The sequence below is a fragment of the Homo sapiens genome, chromosome 11 (genome assembly GCF_000001405.40).
Source record: "Homo sapiens chromosome 11, GRCh38.p14 Primary Assembly".
Lineage (NCBI taxonomy): Eukaryota > Metazoa > Chordata > Mammalia > Primates > Hominidae > Homo > Homo sapiens.
This window is the reverse complement of record NC_000011.10, coordinates 19,137,006-19,157,959: the sequence shown is the minus strand read 5'-3', so window position 1 is coordinate 19,157,959 and position 20,954 is coordinate 19,137,006. Positions and strand designations below refer to the sequence as shown.

Below are 20,954 nucleotides of genomic sequence, written 5' to 3'. Positions count from 1 at the left end.
CCACTCCTGACAGGTGTCAGGTTAACAGCCCAGATCAATAAGCAACTGCCCTGTAATAATAGTAGTTTACAGTTGCTTTCCTCCATGAAATTGGGACCCTATAGAGGAATATGAGAAATAAGGGATGTATGAATAAAGTTGTCATATGCATTTGACTCACATTTGAATTGCGTCCATTTTTATAATGTAGGCTTCAACTACAATAAACGAACAACCAAACATAATCTCAAATGTTCCTATCCTAGGGGAGTAGATATTACCAGCCCTTGCTTCCTCTCTGAAAAAGGAGTGATGACTCTGATCCCTGGTGATTTGGCTTAAAATTTATTTAGAGCCCAAGTTAATCCAATTAGTGGAAAGTGAATAAATATCTCTAAGTCACAAGTTGTCTGAATAGCAGACAATTTTAGGCATTTTGCTATTTTTCAGAAATTTGAGTTTTCACATTACATTTAAATTCTAATTCATTTCCAGCCAATTGTCCTGCTCTTGGGTGATACAGTAGTAAGATTCCTCTAATACTTCATTTGCTCTTATGACAAAAGCAGGGCATGCTTATGCCAGAGAATGCTGGCAAGCGACAGAAAGACAGAGGAATACTCATAATCATAATCTGCAAAGAGCAACCCTGTATTTCCCTTTAGATTCTTTTCTATGGATCATCATCATTACATTTTTCTTTCATTCAGTGAATGAAAATGTTTAACAGCAGAGACAAGTTTCCTGCTTTTATGGGCTTTACGTTGCAGGAAAGTGATTAAGTGCTACAAGAAAATAAAACAGGGATGCAGCAGCATCAGTCAGGAACGGCCTCACTAAGCAGGTGACAGCTGAACTGAGGCCTGAATGACATATCCAACTATGAAAAGATAAGGTGTCACAACACTTCAGACAAAGACCCAAGCAAGGGCCAAGGCCCCAGGTGGGAATGAGCCTGATGTGTGAGAAAGAAGGTACAGTGCAATGAGGAGAAGGGAAAGAGAGGAAGTCGCTGGGGAGGGAATGAATCACATCATACCCCATAGGCAAGGAGTCTGGATTTTGTTCTGAGTACAAGAAAAAGTTACTAAAGCACTTTAAGCAGGGAGAAAAGAAAGAACTTATCTGCTTTTTAAAAGACTCCCTTGATTGCTAAGTGGGGGTAAACTCCAGGGGGATAAGAAGTCAGGAGACCAGTGAGGAGACTTGGTCTAGGATGCGAGTTGTGGAGATGGAGACAGGCAGGTAGGGAACACTTGGTAATGGGTTGGACGTGGGAGGTGAGGAGAGGATGACAGTAATCCAAGCATGACACCCATATTCATTTGAGGAACTGGATGCCATTTGACTGAGAAAGGTAAGAGAGAAGAAGAGATGGGGGGTGATATGATTATTGAGTACTATGTGTCAGCTATAGTTCTATGTGTTTATATGTGTTAACCATGAGGCAGGCATTATCACAAGTTAACCCTCATTTTATAGCAACTTGTTCAATGTCAGACTGTCATGTGGTAAAGCTTGACTTGAATTCAAGCAGTCTGACTCTTAACCATTAACTATATATAATCATGTATAAATACTGTCCTAAAAATAAAACCATACCATATTTACTATTTTATAATCTCTCACAATTTAACTCAACTAAAAATGACTGACAGCAAAAATAACTAGCTTAAAATAAATTTAGAAAAAGGAAAAAATTTCTGAAAAATGAGCAAAAATGCTTCAAGATGATTACAAAATCTTGAATAATTATGAAATGATTACAAAAATCTCCCCATCATTCACCAAAAATAACAATTAAAACGTGACCCAGGATATTTATTTTCCACCAGTTGTCAAGTCAACCAAGTTACTGGGTTGAGCAACTTGCTTTCAGCCAAATAATATGCTACCAGAGCCCTTTCCTCCCATCCACCCGCAGGATGCTGTTATATGGTAAGTAATATTTACAGCATGATAAAAATCTGTGACTCCAGCTAACCAACAACAGAAATAAGAAATAAAATCAGAAACACAATAACCAGCCTTGCAAAAATTAACATACACACCTTGGAAACAAAGATGTCAGAAAAAACAGTGTTACTAGAAGACATCCTTTTAAAAGCCAAGAATCTGAATTGAAGTCCAATATGTATCCAATAGCCCACATGGTAATCACAGAAAGCATCAGCAGCAGGAAGAGCTATTAAGAGATTCAGAATTTTAGAACTTTATGGATTTTACCTCTTAAGTATCTAATAATAGTGCAATATAAGAACTACTTCCAAAGTATATAATAACAATTAATACAACAACAAAGCTAACACAAAGTTTTCCTCTAAAATTGCTGATTGATAAATTTGAGGTTTGAGAGATTGTACATCTTGGAAACAATCTTTTTTTTTTTTTTTTTTTTTGAGATGAAGTTTCATTCTTGTTGCCCAGGCTGGAGCACAATGGTGCGATCTCGGCTCACTGCAACCTCTGTCTCCTGGGTTCAAGCGATTCTCTTGGCTCAGCCTCCCAAGTAGCTGGGATTACAGGCACCCACCACCATGCCTGGCTAATTTTTGTATATTTAGTAGAGACGGGGTTTCACTGTGTTGACGAGGCTGGTCTTGAACTTCTGACCTCAGGCGATCCACCTGCCTCGGCCTCCCAAAGTGGGAAACAACCTTTTAAAAACCCTACATTTTATAAAATGTTACTTAAACATATTTTGTTTTGTTTTCTTCTCTACAAGAAATGGTGGTCTTTTAGAAAACTGTTAATGAGAGCTAAGATTTTTCAAAATTACTTCTTGCAAACAGTATTCTATATTGGAAAGCATAAAGCAAGCTCAAGGGACTACATAGAAATTAATACAAAAGACTCAATGAGGGAACTATAAGAGCTCCAACCTGGGCACTGCACCATGCCATCCCTAATGCAGAAGGTCAGATGCAATAGGTCTGCAGAAAAGATGAGCTATGTTTGGAGAACGTAGAATTTTAAATGCCTATGGACATCTAGGAGACAACCAGCTGGCAGTCAAAAGTAGGTCTAGCATTCTGGAAGACTTGAAATTTATCAGTACATAGGTGGTAAAGCCGTGAGTGAATAACATCCCAAAGACTGTGTGCAGGTAGAAAGGGGGCAGAATCTTAGCCAAAACAAACACTTAAGGGGAAAAAAGCAAAGTCACCAAAAATAACCAAGAACAACTGACCAGAAAGGCAGGATGAGAACCGGCAGAAAGAAAGGTTTCAGGGAATCCAGGGAAGAGAGTTTCGAGAAGGGGGATGTTCTCAGTGTCAAATGTCACATGGAGATCAAAGACTGAAATATGTCCTCATGATGCTACTAATTCAGGTTTATTTTGGCAAAGTTAAAAGAATGAAACTTCTATGAAACAATGGTCTGACTGAATTGAAGCTGGGCCCCATGTTTGTGCAATGCAGTCTTTAATGACAAGATATGAGACCTTGAAAGTAAGCAGGGCTTCCTTCTTTCTTCCTCCATTTTCACCTCTCTACGCCATATCTAGGAGTGGATAATTTCAAATGACATTAAGTCTTTAAAATGTTTCCTATTCCAATTGGCATGATGACACAAAATGGGCTAGTTTAGATTTTTTTTAATGTAAATTTAGAATCTCCTAGCAACATAATCTCAGAACAGAGATAAGAATTAAATATGGATCTCAAAATTCTAAATCCTAGATATAACACTCTTACAGACAAGCTGCCCTATTCATTCAACAAATACTTGAGGGCATATTATATGCAAGGTACTATTCTAGGCACTTGGGACACATCAATGAACTTAAGATCTTTTTCTCACTTAAATTCTAGCTGGGGAAGATAGACAAATAAATATACTAAGTGAATTTTATAGTATATAAAAACCTGGATGACAAAGGGCCCTATAGGCCATCATAAAGACTTTGCTTTTACTCTGGGAGAAATGAGGAGACATCATAGGAATGTGAGCTGATAAGTGACATGACCCGACTTACATTTTAGAAGATTCATCTGCTGAACCAACATGGCAGTGGTAGAGTGGTAAGAAGGGGTCAGATTCTGGACATAAACTGAAGGCTGAACTAGTTAACCCGTCTTTCTAATGGACTGCATATGTGGTATGACAAAAAAAAAAAAGGCGAAGACAGAGGAATGCTGGAGTTACCAGCTACTGAGATGGGGAAGGCTTGGCTTAGTCAGGGGAAGGGTGGGGAGGGTATCAGGAGATGCCTATTAGACATCAAAGCGGATGAGTAAAGTAGGTAATTGGATATATGAGCATGGAAAGGTCTAGACTAGAGAGACAAATATGGGAGTTATCAACATATAGATGGCATTTAGGGAATGAATAGATAGCAAGGAAGCTCAATAACAAAATCCTGGGGCACCCTACCAACAAGAGATGGGGGAGAAGTGGAGGAGCTGGCAAAGGAGACTGAGGAATAACCACTATTTCTTTCTCTCCCCACTCCACATGCCTAATGCAAAAGCAGTGTAGCATTCATGATGATCCTCTACATAAGAATACAGTGTCTGTTAATTTAGAATCACTCTGAAAGTACAATTACTAATTATTATTAATAAGATGATGGTATCATATTTGAAAACACTAGAAACAGTGGAATCAATCCAATATTCCATTTTAACAATTTAAATAGTATTCACTTCTATGACTTAGATTTTCTTAGACATTCATGAGAATAACCTGAAGTTTCTAAAGTTTTCCATTATTCAGTTCATTTTAAAGTTTAGAGGAACACCACACAGAATTGCTAAGCTAAAAAAAATGAATAAAATTTGGATTTAATCTCTCAAAATTCCAGTGTTTTCTTTTATGAAGTGACATCATATGCCTAAAATTTTCAACACTATCATTTTTAAAGTCCTTATGATTCTAAGGAAACATTGTAAATGTTATTATTTTCTTTTCAAGAAATAAAATTTTAGTAAGGAATAAACTATTCCTACAAGCTTCTATAAAACTCCTTGCAACAAGGTGTTTTTCCCATTGTGTCTCTAAAAATCAAAACCTTTTGCATTTCAATACATTCATTAAATAAATGTGGAAGTACACAATGATATTCATAAGGTAACAAGCACTTTTAGAGCATCTAGTTGAGGACCAACAATAAATAGCCAATGAAAGTGCCAAATTTCCAACTTTGGGTAATAGGATGCGGGGGAAAGATATAGTCAGCAGATATAATGCAGCAAAAAGCCAACTCTCTGGTTTCCTCTGATGCCTTAATAAACAAAACCAAATGAACAAAAAAAGTCATCTATCCCATAGAAAAGACCCCATATGAAAATACCTCGCATTTCTGCAGCCACCTCCAAAGTCTGAACTTTTGGTTGGCTCTCATTTTGGCTTCTGTTTTTAGCATATGAATAATGAGCTGATTTTTGTTTTGTAGAGCCATATCAAGAGGTGTTTCTCCCTTAAAAAAGAGTAGGGTAAAAAGTTTAAAAGTATTTTTAATATATTATGAGTGCTAAACTTTTTTTAAAAACACCAGAATCATAGACTCAACACATTATTCCAAGGATAGCCAGCTATTATCATTTATATCTATCTTGGGGTAACTGAAAACAATTATATAGCTTATCTTTACGTTAATTTATCAATCTTCTAACTCAAGATATAATAAACTAAGGGAGATAAATATCTGGCCATACCTTAACATTCTGGATATCCAGGCTAGAACCAGCTTCCAAAAGCTTATCAACTGCATTAACATTTCCTGCTGCAACTGCCCAGTGAAGTGGAGTGTTTTGGTGTATTTTATCAACCACATTGAGAGAAGGATTAAACTTTAAAAGAAATCCAGTTGGTTCTGGCCTGTCTCAAAATAATAAAATACCAAGAGGCATTAACAGAGATGATGACTTAAGGAGTAAATGCAAATTATGAATCTTTTAAGATAATGCCATCAATTAACCATTCAGTTAAGTATTCAGAACTGAGAAACTTCTTTGTACTGAGTTCTATTCTAGGTACTAATAGGAGATTAAAAAAAAAGACATCTATTAAATGACGACTGCTATACAGATAGATAATTTTAACAATGCAGTGGAATAACTGCTTTTGTTTTTCAAACTTTTCCTTTCATATTGTTGTTCTATTGGCTAACACTTTTCTTTGAATATAGATTTAACTTTAGCCAATATTAAATGCTATGCTATTTATTCAATTAAAGACTAAATGTATGTCTTAGTTGAGGAGCTAACTTCATACTCTCCATCAAATCAACTGTTAAATAAAGCAGGTATAAATTATGCCCTAAAATATTTGTATATCTTAGAAAGTTACGGACTAGAAGACAGAATTCAGTAAAATATTTTTACTTTACCAATACCTTTCCTTCCTTCATGACCACTGAAGAGATTCTTTTAATAAAACAATATTCTACTTTATTTATTCTATCAATATCTTTATAGAGATTATACCTGACTTCAGATTTACCAGCACAGAAGAGAAAATGCTTTTTAATAAAATTCTACCTCCAGTCCTACCATTCCATGAACAAAAAGGAAATAGCATTAGAACTAACACAGTTCCTAGAAGTCCTAAGTACAAGCAAAATCAGAGATTCAATACAACATAGAAACAAACTGCTAAAGTGAGAACTGTCGTAAGTATCTGCCTAGATAAATACCAGAAGTTGAACTATACAGTGGTCATTAATCATGTGTTTATAGAAATAAATACACAGAAAAACTTGAATATGTAAGTGCCTGATCTGAACATACAGACTCTTTTCAGTTAATGATATTTTCAAAGTAGTCAAGAATGATGTCAGAGAATCTCAAAATTTAATATTTTCCAGAAAGCAGATTTATCACTTAGATTTCAAATTATGAGAACATTTAAAATTATAGCCATTTTTTTAAAGCCAAAGGAAGAAATACAAGTCATGTTAACAAGTATATTTCAAGGTATATCTACTTGATAGGTAAGGAAATTTTTTTCTTATTAGTAGCTTTCAAACTTTTTGCCAAAGCTATCAGAAAAGAGAAAATGTATTTCAAGGCTGCTTTTCTAACTATAACTACCTTAAAAGTCAATTATCACAGTCTCTGTGTGAAAAATCTTATTTTCTTCAATGTACTATCATCTCACATAGACACAGATACTTAAAATTACATACACAGAAAAGAAATAGTTGGAACCAAGAATGAGATTGAGTGGACTAAATTAAACTCACCCAATTACTTTGTGAGCTGATAACATGAGAGGTGTCTGCCCATTTACATCTGTCATATTCACACTCTATTCAAAAAGAAGACAATTAGCATAACTGTAAATACACTCAAAAGTCTATTTGTTCTCTTAATAGAAATATCTCTTTAATACATTCAATACTACCATTATTTCTACATAAAGGGCTCAAATATCATTTGATAAAAAGAATGTTTTGCTCACTTCCATAGGGTAAAAATCCATGGATTTCCACAGAATATTTTTAAAAAGAAAATCTGAATATATAATGTAAAGTGTTATATGATGTGAACACAGTTAAGGGAAAGAGTAAAATGTTGATAGCTACCATCAAATACAAGAGATGGTAGAGACCTTAAAAGTCACCTAGTTGAGACCTTAGTTGACACATTAATTCGCATTATCATTTCTTATACAAAGTCATTCAGTACCTACTCAAACACTTCCAGTAAATAGTGAACTCCCTATCTTCTGAGGCAACTTGTCTTTCTGGACTTATCATATTAAGTTTTAAATAGTAAAATATGAAAATTTCCTTTCTATTTTCTGGAACACAGAAAAAAAAAGGAAATCATATTTCCATGAGGATACAGTCCTTTTAATAAGACAGGTCTAGGTTTAAGGTATACAGCAATGGTTTCAGCTAAGCCAAAGAAAAACAGTTTCAGCTTCTGAAGATTCTTATGGGCCTTGGAGGAACAGGACTTGGGAAGGCACCCAAAGAGAAGCAGACAGGACTCTTCCTCATATATTTATATTTTTCCAACAATGAAACCTAGGAGGTTATAATTCTACTTCAATCAGCTAAGTCTGAGAGAAAGTGCTTATTTAAAGGGAGCACAATCATTCCAACAGCATTTGTGCAAACACGTTTTCATGCCTTTTACAGGCAAGTCTGCTAATACATAAACTACTTTGCTACCAGAAAACATATTCCAGGCAAGTATAATTGACAGTGAAACTTACAATAACCTATAATTTAACCTGTGCCTCTCAAGGCAAGTCAATTTTCATGGAATTACTTTAGAGAACAATAAGAAACATATATTCAAATTGGCCTCCCATTTGGGCTCAAATAATGAAAGCAAATGATGGGTTAATTTAGTGATTTGACTACCATTTTTATATTCAACTAGAAGAAAAATACAGGCTTTGAAGTCATGTTTTTGAGAAACTCTGCAAATTACTGGGTTCATAAGAAAAACTATTACCAGCTTACAAGTTTCAGAAACATCTATTATACGTTACTGAGCTAAATGACCTGTCCTTTTCCCTCCAATGAAGCTGAAAAGCAGTATTCAATGGCTAAACGTACTGAGGCTAATATCTGAATATCTGGATATCCATTAACCTCCACTTTAAAAATGAGAAGAGACTACTACTAATAATTTCCCCAACCTCTTCAGATGATAAAAACTGGAGTATAAGACACATTTCAGAACATACCTGTCCCTTTGAGATGAGATATGCTATAATAGGCATGTGTTGAAACAATACTGCCAGGTGGATGCTGCTGAATCCCTCTCCATCAATAAGAGTGGGGTCTGCACCATGCTGGAGTAATAATATGACCATAGGTAAATGTCCTTGTCTGCAAATAGAAGACAAAAAGCCATTCTGTAGCATGCAGAAAAAGCAAAAAGTCAGGGAGAGACTGATATTCCTAAGACATGAGGGATTTTGGTTACATATAAAAAATATTTCCTAACAGTAAGATTTTTGAAACAATGGTGATTGTCCAAACGTTTTTAACTTAGATGCTGCAAACTTAGAACTATATGGATAATCATTCTCGTTTTTTTTTGTTTTTTGTTTTTTGTTTTTGAGATGGAGTCTCGCTCTGTGACCCAGGCTGGAGTGCAGTGGCACGATCTCAGCTCACTGCAACATCTGCCTCCCAGGTTCAAGCGGTTCTCCTGCCTCAGCGGGGACTACAGGCGCATGCCACCATGCCCACCTAATTTTTTGTATTTTTAGTAGAGATGGGGTTTCATTGTGTTAGCCAGGATGGTCTCGATCTCCTGACCTCATGATCTGCCTGCCTGGGCCTCCCAAAGTGCTGGGATTACAGGCATGAGCCACTGCACCCGGCCTGGATAATCATTCTTGAGTGCAAGTGATAAACTTGATAACTTCCCAATCTACCCTAAACCTGACCTTCACACATTACCATACGTGAATAATAATTCTTTATGACATGGTAACAATGAAGATTCTAAGACCACTTAGATGTCACTGTCATTTTAAAATCAAAAAATCATAAGCCAGATATACAGAAATATAATATTCATAAACTATGGGTTTACTGTGATAATATTAAGAGCTATATATTCATATGCTTTTCTTATGCTTGACTATGGTTCATTTTTCATGTAAAGTACTGTACCTCAGTAGCTTAAAGGGCATGAAGTAACCCTAGAGTTTCAAAACTCTTAGCTATGGAGAAAAGATTCAACTCCTTGACTTACATGAACAATTATTCACTTCAGTTTCAGATTCCTGTCAACCCCACCAACCACCGAGAGTGGAGTTTAAATTAATAAAAGAAACTGATAAGTATTCAAGACTTACTAACTTCAGTTTCAGATGGCCAATATACAACAGAGAAAAAAGGAGAGTGACCACACAATATAAATGTTCTAAGTTGATATACTCAAAATTTCTTGTTAATCCTGCAACAACTTTTAAAAGAGTTGACTCAATTGGCCCTAAGATATAGAGATATACTTCACATTTAAGAGGAAACTCACCTCTGAAATAAAATCGTAAATTTCTAAATAGACATCTGTCATAAGCCTGAACTGAATGAGTTTGCACTTCACTGAACTACTATTTTTATTTATGTTACCAAGTATGAAAATTATTTATTCTAATTACAAAAAAGAAACTATAAAACACATATTTGAGTTGGATAATCATAATGAAGCCCTAAATTAAATATCGAAAACATCCTTTCTGCAAACTCTTTAAAGCTGAAATTTATTTTTAAATAAAGGGGGGGGGGGAAGAAAAGACAGCCTTTCAAATCGTCTATAACTGATTTTTTATATGGTGACCACTAGCTATATGTGGCTATTTAATTTCAGTGTTCAAAGAAACCTTACCGGATGGCCCAGTGAAGAGGAGTTGAATTTAAATCTCCACCCAACTGATCTACAACAGCACCTTTTGAAATATAAAACCTGTTAAAAGCAGACACAAATGAAAGTAAGATTTGAAACTTAAGCTTCATATTGAGAAAGAAAATACTAATTTTTTCATAGTAATAAATATGTTGGAGAACAAATTATGATAGTAATAATCCCTAAAACACCCAGATCTATAGAAATATGAAAGGTTCACATGGCAGAATCAGACAAATCCCTGATGAAACATCCTTAGGATGTAAGTAATTAGTCCTGCTGTAATTAGCATTCCATTATAACTTACATATCAAATACATCATAACTACTCTCTGCATAGTCTAACTACCGCAGCACTCTTGAAATTGTTTATATTCAAAAGGTTTAGGATCAGACAGATATTCTTACTTGACTGGAAGGAGAAAGGTAAAGTTATGTCACCTTCAACAGTTTAAAAGTAGAATTACTATGTGGGAATGAATTTTAAAAGTAAGTAGTAAAGAATTAATTTAAAATCCTTTTGGAAAAGTTAGACATTTTGAGTGTTTTGCCCTGTATTTAGGGTACGGAGATGAGAGGCACTGTATAAGGTGGACATATAAGGTAATAAGACTGATTTTCTTCTATGGTTTATAGGAATTAGTCTCATTACTTCAAAGTTGAGCTTCATACATCATATTATCTAAATACCATGCCAGTTTATTTCCACAGAAGAGGAGTTTGCCTGTGAGTATTCATGTGTGTTAGAACATTTTAAACCTTAATAAATTTCTTAAACTTTGAGGATTTTAAATATCTAATCCTATAACACAAAATATATACACATTCACATACACATGTACATTTTACATGTTAAGCTGTTTAAAAGAAACAATGGGTAGGCAGTAGTGCTTTATGAAGGGGAAATATTTTATACAATCCAATACATGCCCACTTAAAAGTATATTCCATATTTAGTTTTTTTAAAAGGTTAAATCTCCTACCTATCTATTCTTCGTGGTATTAAAATGTAAAATATTTCAATGCTTCTTCTAAACTAGATGAGACTTCCCATTCTCTTCTGAAAAAGTTTATTATACTTTTCCTTTTTTAAAAAATGTTCACTTTTACTTTCTAAACTTTATGATTGGCCCCCTTGGCTTTATCTCTAATTTTCCCTTTTGGATCAACCAGGCATGGTCTCTAAGGTCCCTTTCAACTTTATAATAACCAACGTGTGTGGCAGAAAAAGTTTCGGGTGTTCTTTTACACGAGGATTACACATGGTTCAATACCCATACTTAAAGAAAAAGATAAATGAAGGAGAGGTCTAAAATTATAAATACACAATTAACACACATATCCCATCTTACTTTACAAGATCCAGTCTGTTGTTAATAGCAGCCCAATGAAGAAGCGACACATTTTCTTTATCTGGTTGCCTGACATCATATCCTGCTTCTACCAACTCTTTACATCGTTCAAAAATTCCGTATCTCAAAGAAGAAAAAAAAAAGCATAATTGATACAATTAAAATCATTTCAAATATCAAAATTTCTTCACTTTACTATATCTTTTCACTATCCAAACTGCCTTTCAGTCAATACAGAAATATAATAATTAACAAAGACATGCATAGAGAGGACACAGTATAAAGCCAAACAGCAAAAGGAAACCTGGTTTATGTACTGATCAGATTAATCTCTTTGGAGTTGAACTTGACTTTCTTAAGTAAACTTTAAACTTACATTGCCTTCCTTCAATAAGTTTCATCTGATCTCCACTATGTGCCAGAAACACCTGGTGCCAATTCCTGACAATAATCTTACCCCTGAATCAAACCAAGCCCATGCAATAATCTCACAATAAGGGATAAAGACTAAAAGCAAACTTAGAATGGGATAAATTCCACAACGAAATATGGAAAGAATATAGGTATAGCAGAGGAACAAATGATTAGCCCTTCCTGAAGGAGATGAAACTAAGCTATATTTTATAGGTTGACAAAAGGCATTTCAGGCAGAGGAAGCAGCATGTACAAAAATCAGCAATGTGAAACTACATGGATGTTCAGAGAAATAAAAGCAATTTAACATTGCTAAAGCATAAAGCATGAGAGGGAATGGTGAGACATGAGGTCAGACGCAATAGGCAAAGATCACATGGGCCTTCTGTGCTATGCTATGAAGTTTAGCTTTATGTACAGTTCAATGGGAAACCAATAAAGGGTTTTAAAGAGGAAAGCACTCAGACTTTGAGTTTTAAGAAAGATCGCATTGGAGGCAGTATGGAAGCTGCTTAGAGCAGGGTGAGGACAGAGAGTGAAATACGAATTTAGAGATTATTGCAATAAATACAGGTGAGAGACAATGAGAGCCTAAAGTAAGAGTGAAGCAATAGGAACAGAAAAGGAATGATGGGCTTGAGAGAGATTTAACTACTAGTTAATCAGTTAAATAGTATAGCATTAAAAAGAGGTATTTCATAGAGAAATTATAGCATTAAAAAGACATATTTCATAGAGAATAAAGAGGCAAATCATTTATTAGCAATATTTTTTTTTTTTTGAGATGGAGTCTTGCTTTGTCGCCCAGGCTGGAGTGCAGTGGCGCAATCTCAGCTCACTTCAACCTCTGTCTCCCAGGTTGAAGCGATTCTCCTGCCTCAGCCTCCCAGGTAGCTGGGATTACAGGCGTGTGCCACGACACCAGGCTAATTTTTGTATTTTTAATAGGTTTCACCACGTTAGCCAGGCTGGTCTCGAAGTCCTGACCTCAGGTAATCTGCCCACCTCGGCCTGCCAAAGTGCTGGGCTTACAGGCGTGAGCCACCACACCCGGCCTATTAGCAATATTTCTATGAAGTCCCAACTGACCCTTTAGCACTTTCTTTAAAACTTATTTCTACTTAAAACTACCTGAAAGTTCCAATAAGCCCGCAAGGATCAAAAATCAAACCAAATGGCAGAATTGTCTGTTTCTCACACTGTAAATTAGAATAATTTCTGCCTTACCAAAATACACGCGTGTGTGTGTGCGTGTGTGTGTCTTTTTGGCATTTTTAAAAGAGTAAATTTTTGAAAATGACACACATACATTTACACTCTCCATCTTTTAAATGTCAACTTTAACATTTTACTGGAAAATAAATACTCCCTTTATTTTAGAAACATAATAAGAATATACATTCAGGTTTTGCTGGTTTAGAAAACACACACACACACACACACACACACACACACACTCCATAGCTCTCTATGCCCTTCCCAGATACTACCTACAGGTCCCCCGACAACCACTTGAGAAGGTCCAGGACCTGAAGAAAATTTTAGGAAAGACATAAAATGCGAGTTTTTACTGAGATTCCCTCTAAAAAGAGCCTAATTTCTGACATTTATCTTAAGAGTTTTATGGGCAACAGGGAAAGATTTAAATGTTTGCATCCTAATTAAAGCAAATATTTACCTTAAGAATATGCTCATCTTTGTACAAATAAAATATAAACAATATCAAATAATATTCAACTAAAAGAGTGGTTCCCAAGGCCTCTAGAGTTAATATAAATTGGTAATTAGAATACTCAAATAATTGTCAATATATTTTTTAATTAACATAGACAATACATTAGTCCATATCAAGGCCAAACAGGCTAATTAATCTCCAAACATCTTTGCTTCTGATAGAAATTATATCAAGTTAGTATGGTAACATTAGTTCCCCTCAGGCTGATTAGATTGGCATGATTTTTATTTGATGGGCAATCTGCTGGGCAGATTTATGTTTGATTACTACAAAAATGGATTAATACTTGATGTAGTCTGATGTACAAAATACTTCAAAATTTGCTCAATGTCAAGAGGTGTGATAGATGTTAATAATCAACAAGATCCATGAAGGTGAAAATGTTGGAAATAATTGACTTAATGCAAATACCCACATATGGAGATCTTAAGGGGAAACTTTCAAAATGTACTTCCATATCCAGTGCAAGCAAAACAACACACTATGTGTTTCAAGTGGTCAGAGAACATATTTCCACCTTACCTTACCGTATTTCTTCTAGTTAGTCCAGCACAACAAGCACATGGAAAGTACTCAAGAAATAAATGATTTTTAAAAATATCTATAAATGTGTAAGTCAGTATTTTTCATTCCATCTACCTATTCAGGTTGTAGTATATTTTAAAAGACTTAGATTTGTGTTTCAAATAAAGAGTTTGGCTTAGTGTCATTTAAAATCATCCATTCATTCAAGGAACATTTATTGGGTACCTTACACAAGAAGGAACTGTGCAAAAGCACTGGAGCTACAAAGATGAAGACATGCTTTTGCTAAGAACCTGCCTACAATCTAATGGGACGTCCTGGTACATAAACAGCTCAGGTACACTGTACTAAGTACTGTGGTGTTGGTATGACAAATATACTGGTGCTGGTGTTAACTACTATTATGAAGTTAAGAGAGGTAAACATATGAAGCTCCATGAACTACACATATATTACTATTAATTCTAGAGAACATAAGGATAAACCAAAGCATTTGGAAGACTTACTGAGTAGCTTTGACAATGTCACAGTTACTAGAGTCCTCTATAAGAGGAAGAGCTTCTCTTGCATTGGCAAGTTCTTTGTTTTCATGTGCACAGATGCCATATCGACCAAATCCTGGAGGGTGGGGGCCATGGCTGTGATTCCTGCACTGAAGAGTAAGAGTCATTTGACAAAGCATGAGAGAATTAATGTCACACTCAATTACATAATGAAGCATTTGCTACTATCAACAATATCTATATTAATAAATTACATTTTTTGGAGTTTTAGAAGTGTATCCTGAGAATGACTTGAACCCAGGAGGCGGAGGTTGTAGTAAGCTGAGATCACACCATTGCATTCCAGCCTGGGTGACAGAGTGAGACTCTGTCTCAAAAAAAAAAGAAAAAAAAAGTGTATCCTAAGGAAGATTTTCTTTATCTTAATTCTGTTCAGTAGAAAAGATGCTTACTATTACAAAAAATCCAAATTACATATTTTGTTCATAAAACAAAGGTCATCTGAAAAGGCACAAATGGACCTTGTTACTTGTAGTGGGCAGAGGACCATTGCTACTGACTTGGTAAGAAGTTTGCCAGGCCTCTACTTTTTGGAGTTGTGGTGGACATACCCTAAGAATATCCTCGAACCCCCCAATTAATCAAGTTCTCATATAATTCCTTCCTCTTGAGCACAGGCAGAACTTGTGACTTGTTTCTAGGCAATGGAATATGGCAAAGGTGATGAGACAATTACTCCCATGGTCATGTTATATCAGACTCTGTCTTAGCCAACTGAAGCAAGAGATTCTTCTGCTGGCCTTGAAAAAGTAAGCTGCCATGATATGCGAGGGCCTGTGAGAGAGCCACATAACAAGGAACTGTGGGCAGTCTTCAGGAGTGAAAACAGTCCTTGCTGACAACCAGTAAGAAAATGAGACTTTGATCATACAACAGCAAGAAACTGAATTCTGCTAATAACCAAATGAACTAGAAAGAGGACCCCAAGCTCAGCCTTGATGTCAACTGTGAGAGACCCTTAGCAGAGGATCCAGCTAAGCCATGCCTAGACTCCTGACAAACAGAAACTATGACATAATAAATAGGTGTTACGGGTGGCGTGCTAGCTCAGTTGGTTAAAGCATAGTGCTAATAAGTAGGTGTTGTTTTAACCCACTAAATGCGTGGTAATTTGTTATACAGTAATGGGTAACTAATACAGAAGTGACTGCATAATTTGGGAGGGTAAAAAGAATGACTGCCAAGATAGTCCCACTAGCTGAATCAACAAATGTTACATTCGGATCACCTATTAGAAGCAGCAGCACATGGCAAGCTAAAAAATTTTTCTTTAAACAATTATCTTAGATTTGTCATTCAAACTAATTTGAGTGTTTCTAATCTCAAACACTGAGCTTAGACCTTAGCAGAAAACCAATACGGGGTTCGCTAATGTTAAAAAAAAAAAAAAAGCCCACAAAAATCTAAGATCAATTATCCGTTCTGTGGATTATGAATACATTTTATTTCTCCTTTCCATTACTACAGCCTTTTGGGTTCATTATCACTTCTAGGGCAGATGGGTAGATGATCAATTAAGATGAGCAATTTTGACACTTGTTGACAACTTTGCTAAAATATTTGGTGGACAAGCAGGCAGGCAGAGGGAGTTAAAATCTTTAGCACAAATGATGCTCACTAAATCACTTTAATACCCCTAAACAAAGACTTAGTTTTACTTGAGAGAAGGACTCCTTCAGCTAAAGATGTGGGATGATCAAAGTTTCTGTTTCCTAAAAGCACAAATACACCAAATGTACATATTATTTACATATATTCTAAATACATTTTAAAAAGACTCTACAGTGTGACCCTAATCACAGTGATATCTTTGACTACTCATTTACATAATAACCAATCCTCTAATCTCATAGGCTATTCAGATTTCCAAGTAGAAATAGATTCCTGTTAAAGTAATCAACTTTAATAAAACATAGTATATTGCATTCTCTAAAGAAATGATACCTTAAAGAGAAACCTCCCTGAATCAGTACTTTTTTTTCTTTTTTTTTTTTATTATTATACTACTTTAAAGTTTTAGGGTACATGTGCACAATGTGCAGGTTAGTTACATATGTATACATGTGCCATGCCGGTGCGCTGCACCCACTAACTCATCATCTACATTAGGTATATCTCCCAATGCTATCCCTCCCCCCTCCCCCCACCCCACAACAGTCCCCAGAGTATGATGTTCCCCTTCCTGTGTCCATGTGTTCTCATTGTTCAATTCCCACCTATGAGTGAGAATATGCAGTGTTTGGTTTTTTGTTCTTGCAATAGTTTACTGAGAATGATGATTTCCGATTTCATCCATGTCCCCACAAAGGACGTGAACTCATCATTTTTTATGGCTGCATAGTATTCCATGGTGTATATGTGCCACATTTTCTTAATCCAGTCTATCATTGTTGGACATTTGGGTTGGTTCCAAGTCTTCACTATTGTGAATAATGCCGCAATAAACATACGTGTGCATGTGTCTTTATAGCAGCATGATTTATAGTCCTTTGGGCATATACCCAGTAATGGGATGGCTGGGTCAAATGGTATTTCTAGTTCTAGATCCCTGAGGAATCGCCACACTGACTTCCACAATGGTTGAACTAGTTTACAGTCCCACCAAAAGTTGAAAAGTGTTCCTATTTCTCCACATCCTCTCCAGCACCTGTTGTTTCCTGACTTTTTAAGGATTGCCATTCTAACTGGTGTGAGATGGTATCTCATTGTGGTTTTGATTTGCATTTCTCTGATGGCCAGTGATGGTGAGCATTTTTTCATATGTCTTTTGACTGCATAAATGTCTTCTTTTGAGAAGTGTCTGTTCATGTCCTTTGCCCACTTTTTGATGGGGTTGTTTGTTTTTTTCTTGTAAATTTGTTGGAGTTCATTGTAGATTCTGGATATTAGCCCTTTGTCAGATGAGTAGGTTGCGAAAATTTTCTCCCATGTTGTAGGTTGCCTGTTCACTCTGATGGTAGTTTCTTTTGCTGTGCAGAAGCTCTTTAGTTTAATTAGATCCCATTTGTCAATTTTGGCTTTTGTTGCCATTGCTTTTGGTGTTTTAGACATGAAGTCCTTTCCCATGCCTATGTCCTGAATGGTAATGCCTAGGTTTTCTTCTAGGGTTTTTATGGTTTTAGGTCTAACGTTTAAGTCTTTAATCCATCTTGAATTGATTTTTGTATAAGGTGTAAGGAAGGGATCCAGTTTCAGCTTTCTACATATGGCTAGCCAGTTTTCCCAGCACCATTTATTAAATAGGGAATCCTTTCCCCATTGCTTGTTTTTCTCAGGTTTGTCAAAGATCAGATAGTTGTAGATATGCGGCGTTATTTCTGAGGGCTCTGTTCTGTTCCATTGATCTATATCTCTGTTTTGGTACCAGTACCATGCTGTTTTGGTTACTGTAGCCTTGTAGTATTGTTTGAAGTCAGGCAGTGTGATGCCTCCAGCTTTGTTCTTTTGGCTTAGGATTGACTTGGCGATGCGGGCTCTTTTTTGGTTCCATATGAACTTTAAAGTAGTTTTTTCCAATTCTGTGAAGAAAGTCATTGGTAGCTTGATGGGGATGGCATTGAATCTGTAAATTACCTTGGGCATTAGGGCCATTTTCACAATATTGATTCTTCCTACCCATGAGCATGGAATGTTCTTCCATTTGTTTGTATCCTCTTTTATTTCATTGAGCAGTGGTTTGTAGTTCTCCTTGAAGAGGTCCTTCACATCCCTTGTAAGTTGGATTGCTAGGTATTTTCTTCTCTTTGAAGCAATTGTGAATGGGAGTTCACTCATAATTTGGCTCTCTGTTTGTCTGTTGTTGGTGTATAAGAATCCTTGTGATTTTTGTACGTTGATTTTGTATCCTGAGACTTTGCTGAAGTTGCTTATCAGCTTAAGGAGATTTTGGGCTGAGACAATGGGGTTTTCTAGATATACAATCATGTCGTCTGCAAACAGGGACAATTTGACTTCCTTTTTTCCTAATTGAATACCCTTTATTTCCTTCTCCTACCTAATTGCCCTGGCCAGAACTTCCAACACTATGTTGAATAGGAGTGGTGAGAGAGGGCATCCATGTCTTGTGCCAGTTTTCAAAGGGAATGCTTCCAGTTTTTGCCCATTCAGTATGATATTGGCTGTGGGTTTGTCATAGATAGCTCTTATTATTTTGAGATACGTCCCATCAATACCTAATTTATTGAGAGTTTTTAGCATGAAGGGTTGTTGAATTTTCTCAAAGGCCTTTTCTGCATCTATTGAGATAATCATGTGGTTTTTGTCTTTGGTTCTGTTTATATGCTGGATTACATTTATTGATTTGCGTATATTGAACCAGCCTTGCATCCCAGGTATGAAGCCCACTTGATCATGGTGGATAAGCTTTTTGATGTGCTGCTGGATTCGGTTTGCCAGTATTTTATTGAGGATTTTTGCATCAATGTTCATCAAGGATATTGGTCTAAAATTCTCTTTTTTGGTTGTGTCTCTGCCCGGCTTTGGTATCAGGATGATGCTGGCCTCACAAAATGAGTTAGGGAGGATTCCCTCTTTTTCTATTGACTGGAATAGTTTCAGAAGGAATGGTACCAGTTCCTCCTTGTACCTCTGGTAGAATTCGGCTGTGAATCCATCTGGTCCTGGACTCTTTTTGGTTGGTAAGCTATTGATTATTGCCACAATTTCAGCTCCTGTTATTGGTCTATTCAGAGATTCAACTTCTTCCTGGTTTAGTCTTGGGAGAGTGTATGTGTTGAGGAATTTATCCCTTTCTTCTAGATTTTCTAGTTTATTTGCGTAGAGGTGTTTGTAGTATTCTCTGATGGTAGTTTGTATTTCTGTGGGATTGGTGGTGATATCCCCTTTATCATTTTTTATTGCATCTATTTGATTCTTCTCTCTTTTTTTCTTTATTAGTCTTGCTAGCAGTCTATCAATTTTGTTGATCCTTTCAAAAAACCAGCTCCTGTATTCATTAATTTTTTGAAGGGTTTTTTTGTGTCTCTATTTCCTTCAGTTCTGCTCTGATTTTAGTTATTTCTTGCCTTCTGCTAGCTTTTGAATGTGTTTGCTCTTGCTTTTCTAGTTCTTTTAATTGTGATGTTAGGGTGTCAATTTTGGATCTTTCCTGCTTTCTCTTGTGGGCATTTAGTGCTATAAATTTCCCTCTACACACTGCTTTGAATGCGTCCCAGAGATTCTGGTATGTTGTGTCTTTGTTCTCGTTGGTTTCAAAGAACATCTTTATTTCTGCCTTCATTTTGTTATGTACCCAATAGTCATTCAGGAGCAGGTTGTTCAGTTTCCATGTAGTTGAGCGGTTTTGAGTGAGATTCTTAATCCTGAGTTCTAGTTTGATTGCACTGTGGTCTGAGAGATACTTTGTTATAATTTCTGTTCTTTTGCTGAGGAGAGCTTTACTTCCAAGTATGTGGTCAATTTTGGAATAGGTGTGGTGTGGTGCTGAAATAAATGTATATTCTGTTGATTTGGGGTGGAGAGTTCTGTAGATGTCTATTAGGTCCGCTTGGTGCAGAGCTGAGTTCAATTCCTGGGTATCCTTGTTGACTTTCTGTCTCGTTGATCTGTCTAATGTTGACAGTGGGGTGTTAAAGTCTCCCATTATTAATGTGTGGGAGTCTAAGTCTCTTTGTAGGTCGCTCAGGACTTGCTTTATGAATCTGGGTGCTCCTGTATTGGGTGCATATATGTTTAGGACAGTTAGCTCTTCTTGTTGAATTGATCCCTTTACCATTATGTAATGGCCTTCTTTGTCTCTTTTGATCTTTGTTGGTTCAAAGTCTGTTTTATCAGAGACTAGGATTGCAACCCCTGCCTTTTTTTGTTTTCCATTTGCTTGGTAGATCTTCCTCCATCCTTTTATTTTGAGCCTATGTGTGTCTCTGCACATGAGATGGGTTTCCTGAATACAGCACACTGATGGGTCTGGACTCTTTATCCAATTTGCCAGTCTGTGCCTTTTAATTGGAGCATTTAGTCCATTTACATTTAAAGTTAATACTGTTATGTGTGAATTTGATCCTGTCATTATGATGTTAGCTGGTTATTTTGCTCGTTAGTT

At 36.1% G+C, this 20,954-nt stretch overlaps 1 protein-coding gene across 12 annotated transcripts in view; it reads right to left on the bottom strand.

Annotated features, from left to right (window-relative positions):
• The window catches only part of ZDHHC13 (zDHHC palmitoyltransferase 13), a 59,312-nt gene that overhangs the window by 18,456 nt on the left and 19,902 nt on the right, over positions 1–20,954 (bottom strand). For 3 of the 12 annotated variants that reach the window (XM_011520195.2, NM_019028.3, XM_047427141.1), the window contains exons 2-9: positions 14,837–14,982; positions 11,657–11,779; positions 10,287–10,364; positions 8,629–8,773; positions 7,169–7,233; positions 5,640–5,802; positions 5,276–5,401; positions 2,031–2,164 (exon numbers count right to left, since the gene is read on the bottom strand). In XM_011520195.2, the coding sequence (XP_011518497.1) occupies positions 2,031–2,164; positions 5,276–5,401; positions 5,640–5,802; positions 7,169–7,233; positions 8,629–8,757 (617 nt within the window). In that variant the 5' untranslated portion in view covers positions 8,758–8,773; positions 10,287–10,364; positions 11,657–11,779; positions 14,837–14,982. Of the gene's footprint in view, positions 1–2,030; positions 2,165–5,275; positions 5,402–5,639; positions 5,803–7,168; positions 7,234–8,628; positions 8,774–10,286; positions 10,365–11,656; positions 11,780–14,836; positions 14,983–15,087; positions 15,199–20,954 lie in introns of those variants that run through there. The other 9 variants (XM_005252996.3, XM_047427142.1, XM_047427139.1 and 6 more) reach the window with 5 other exon arrangements.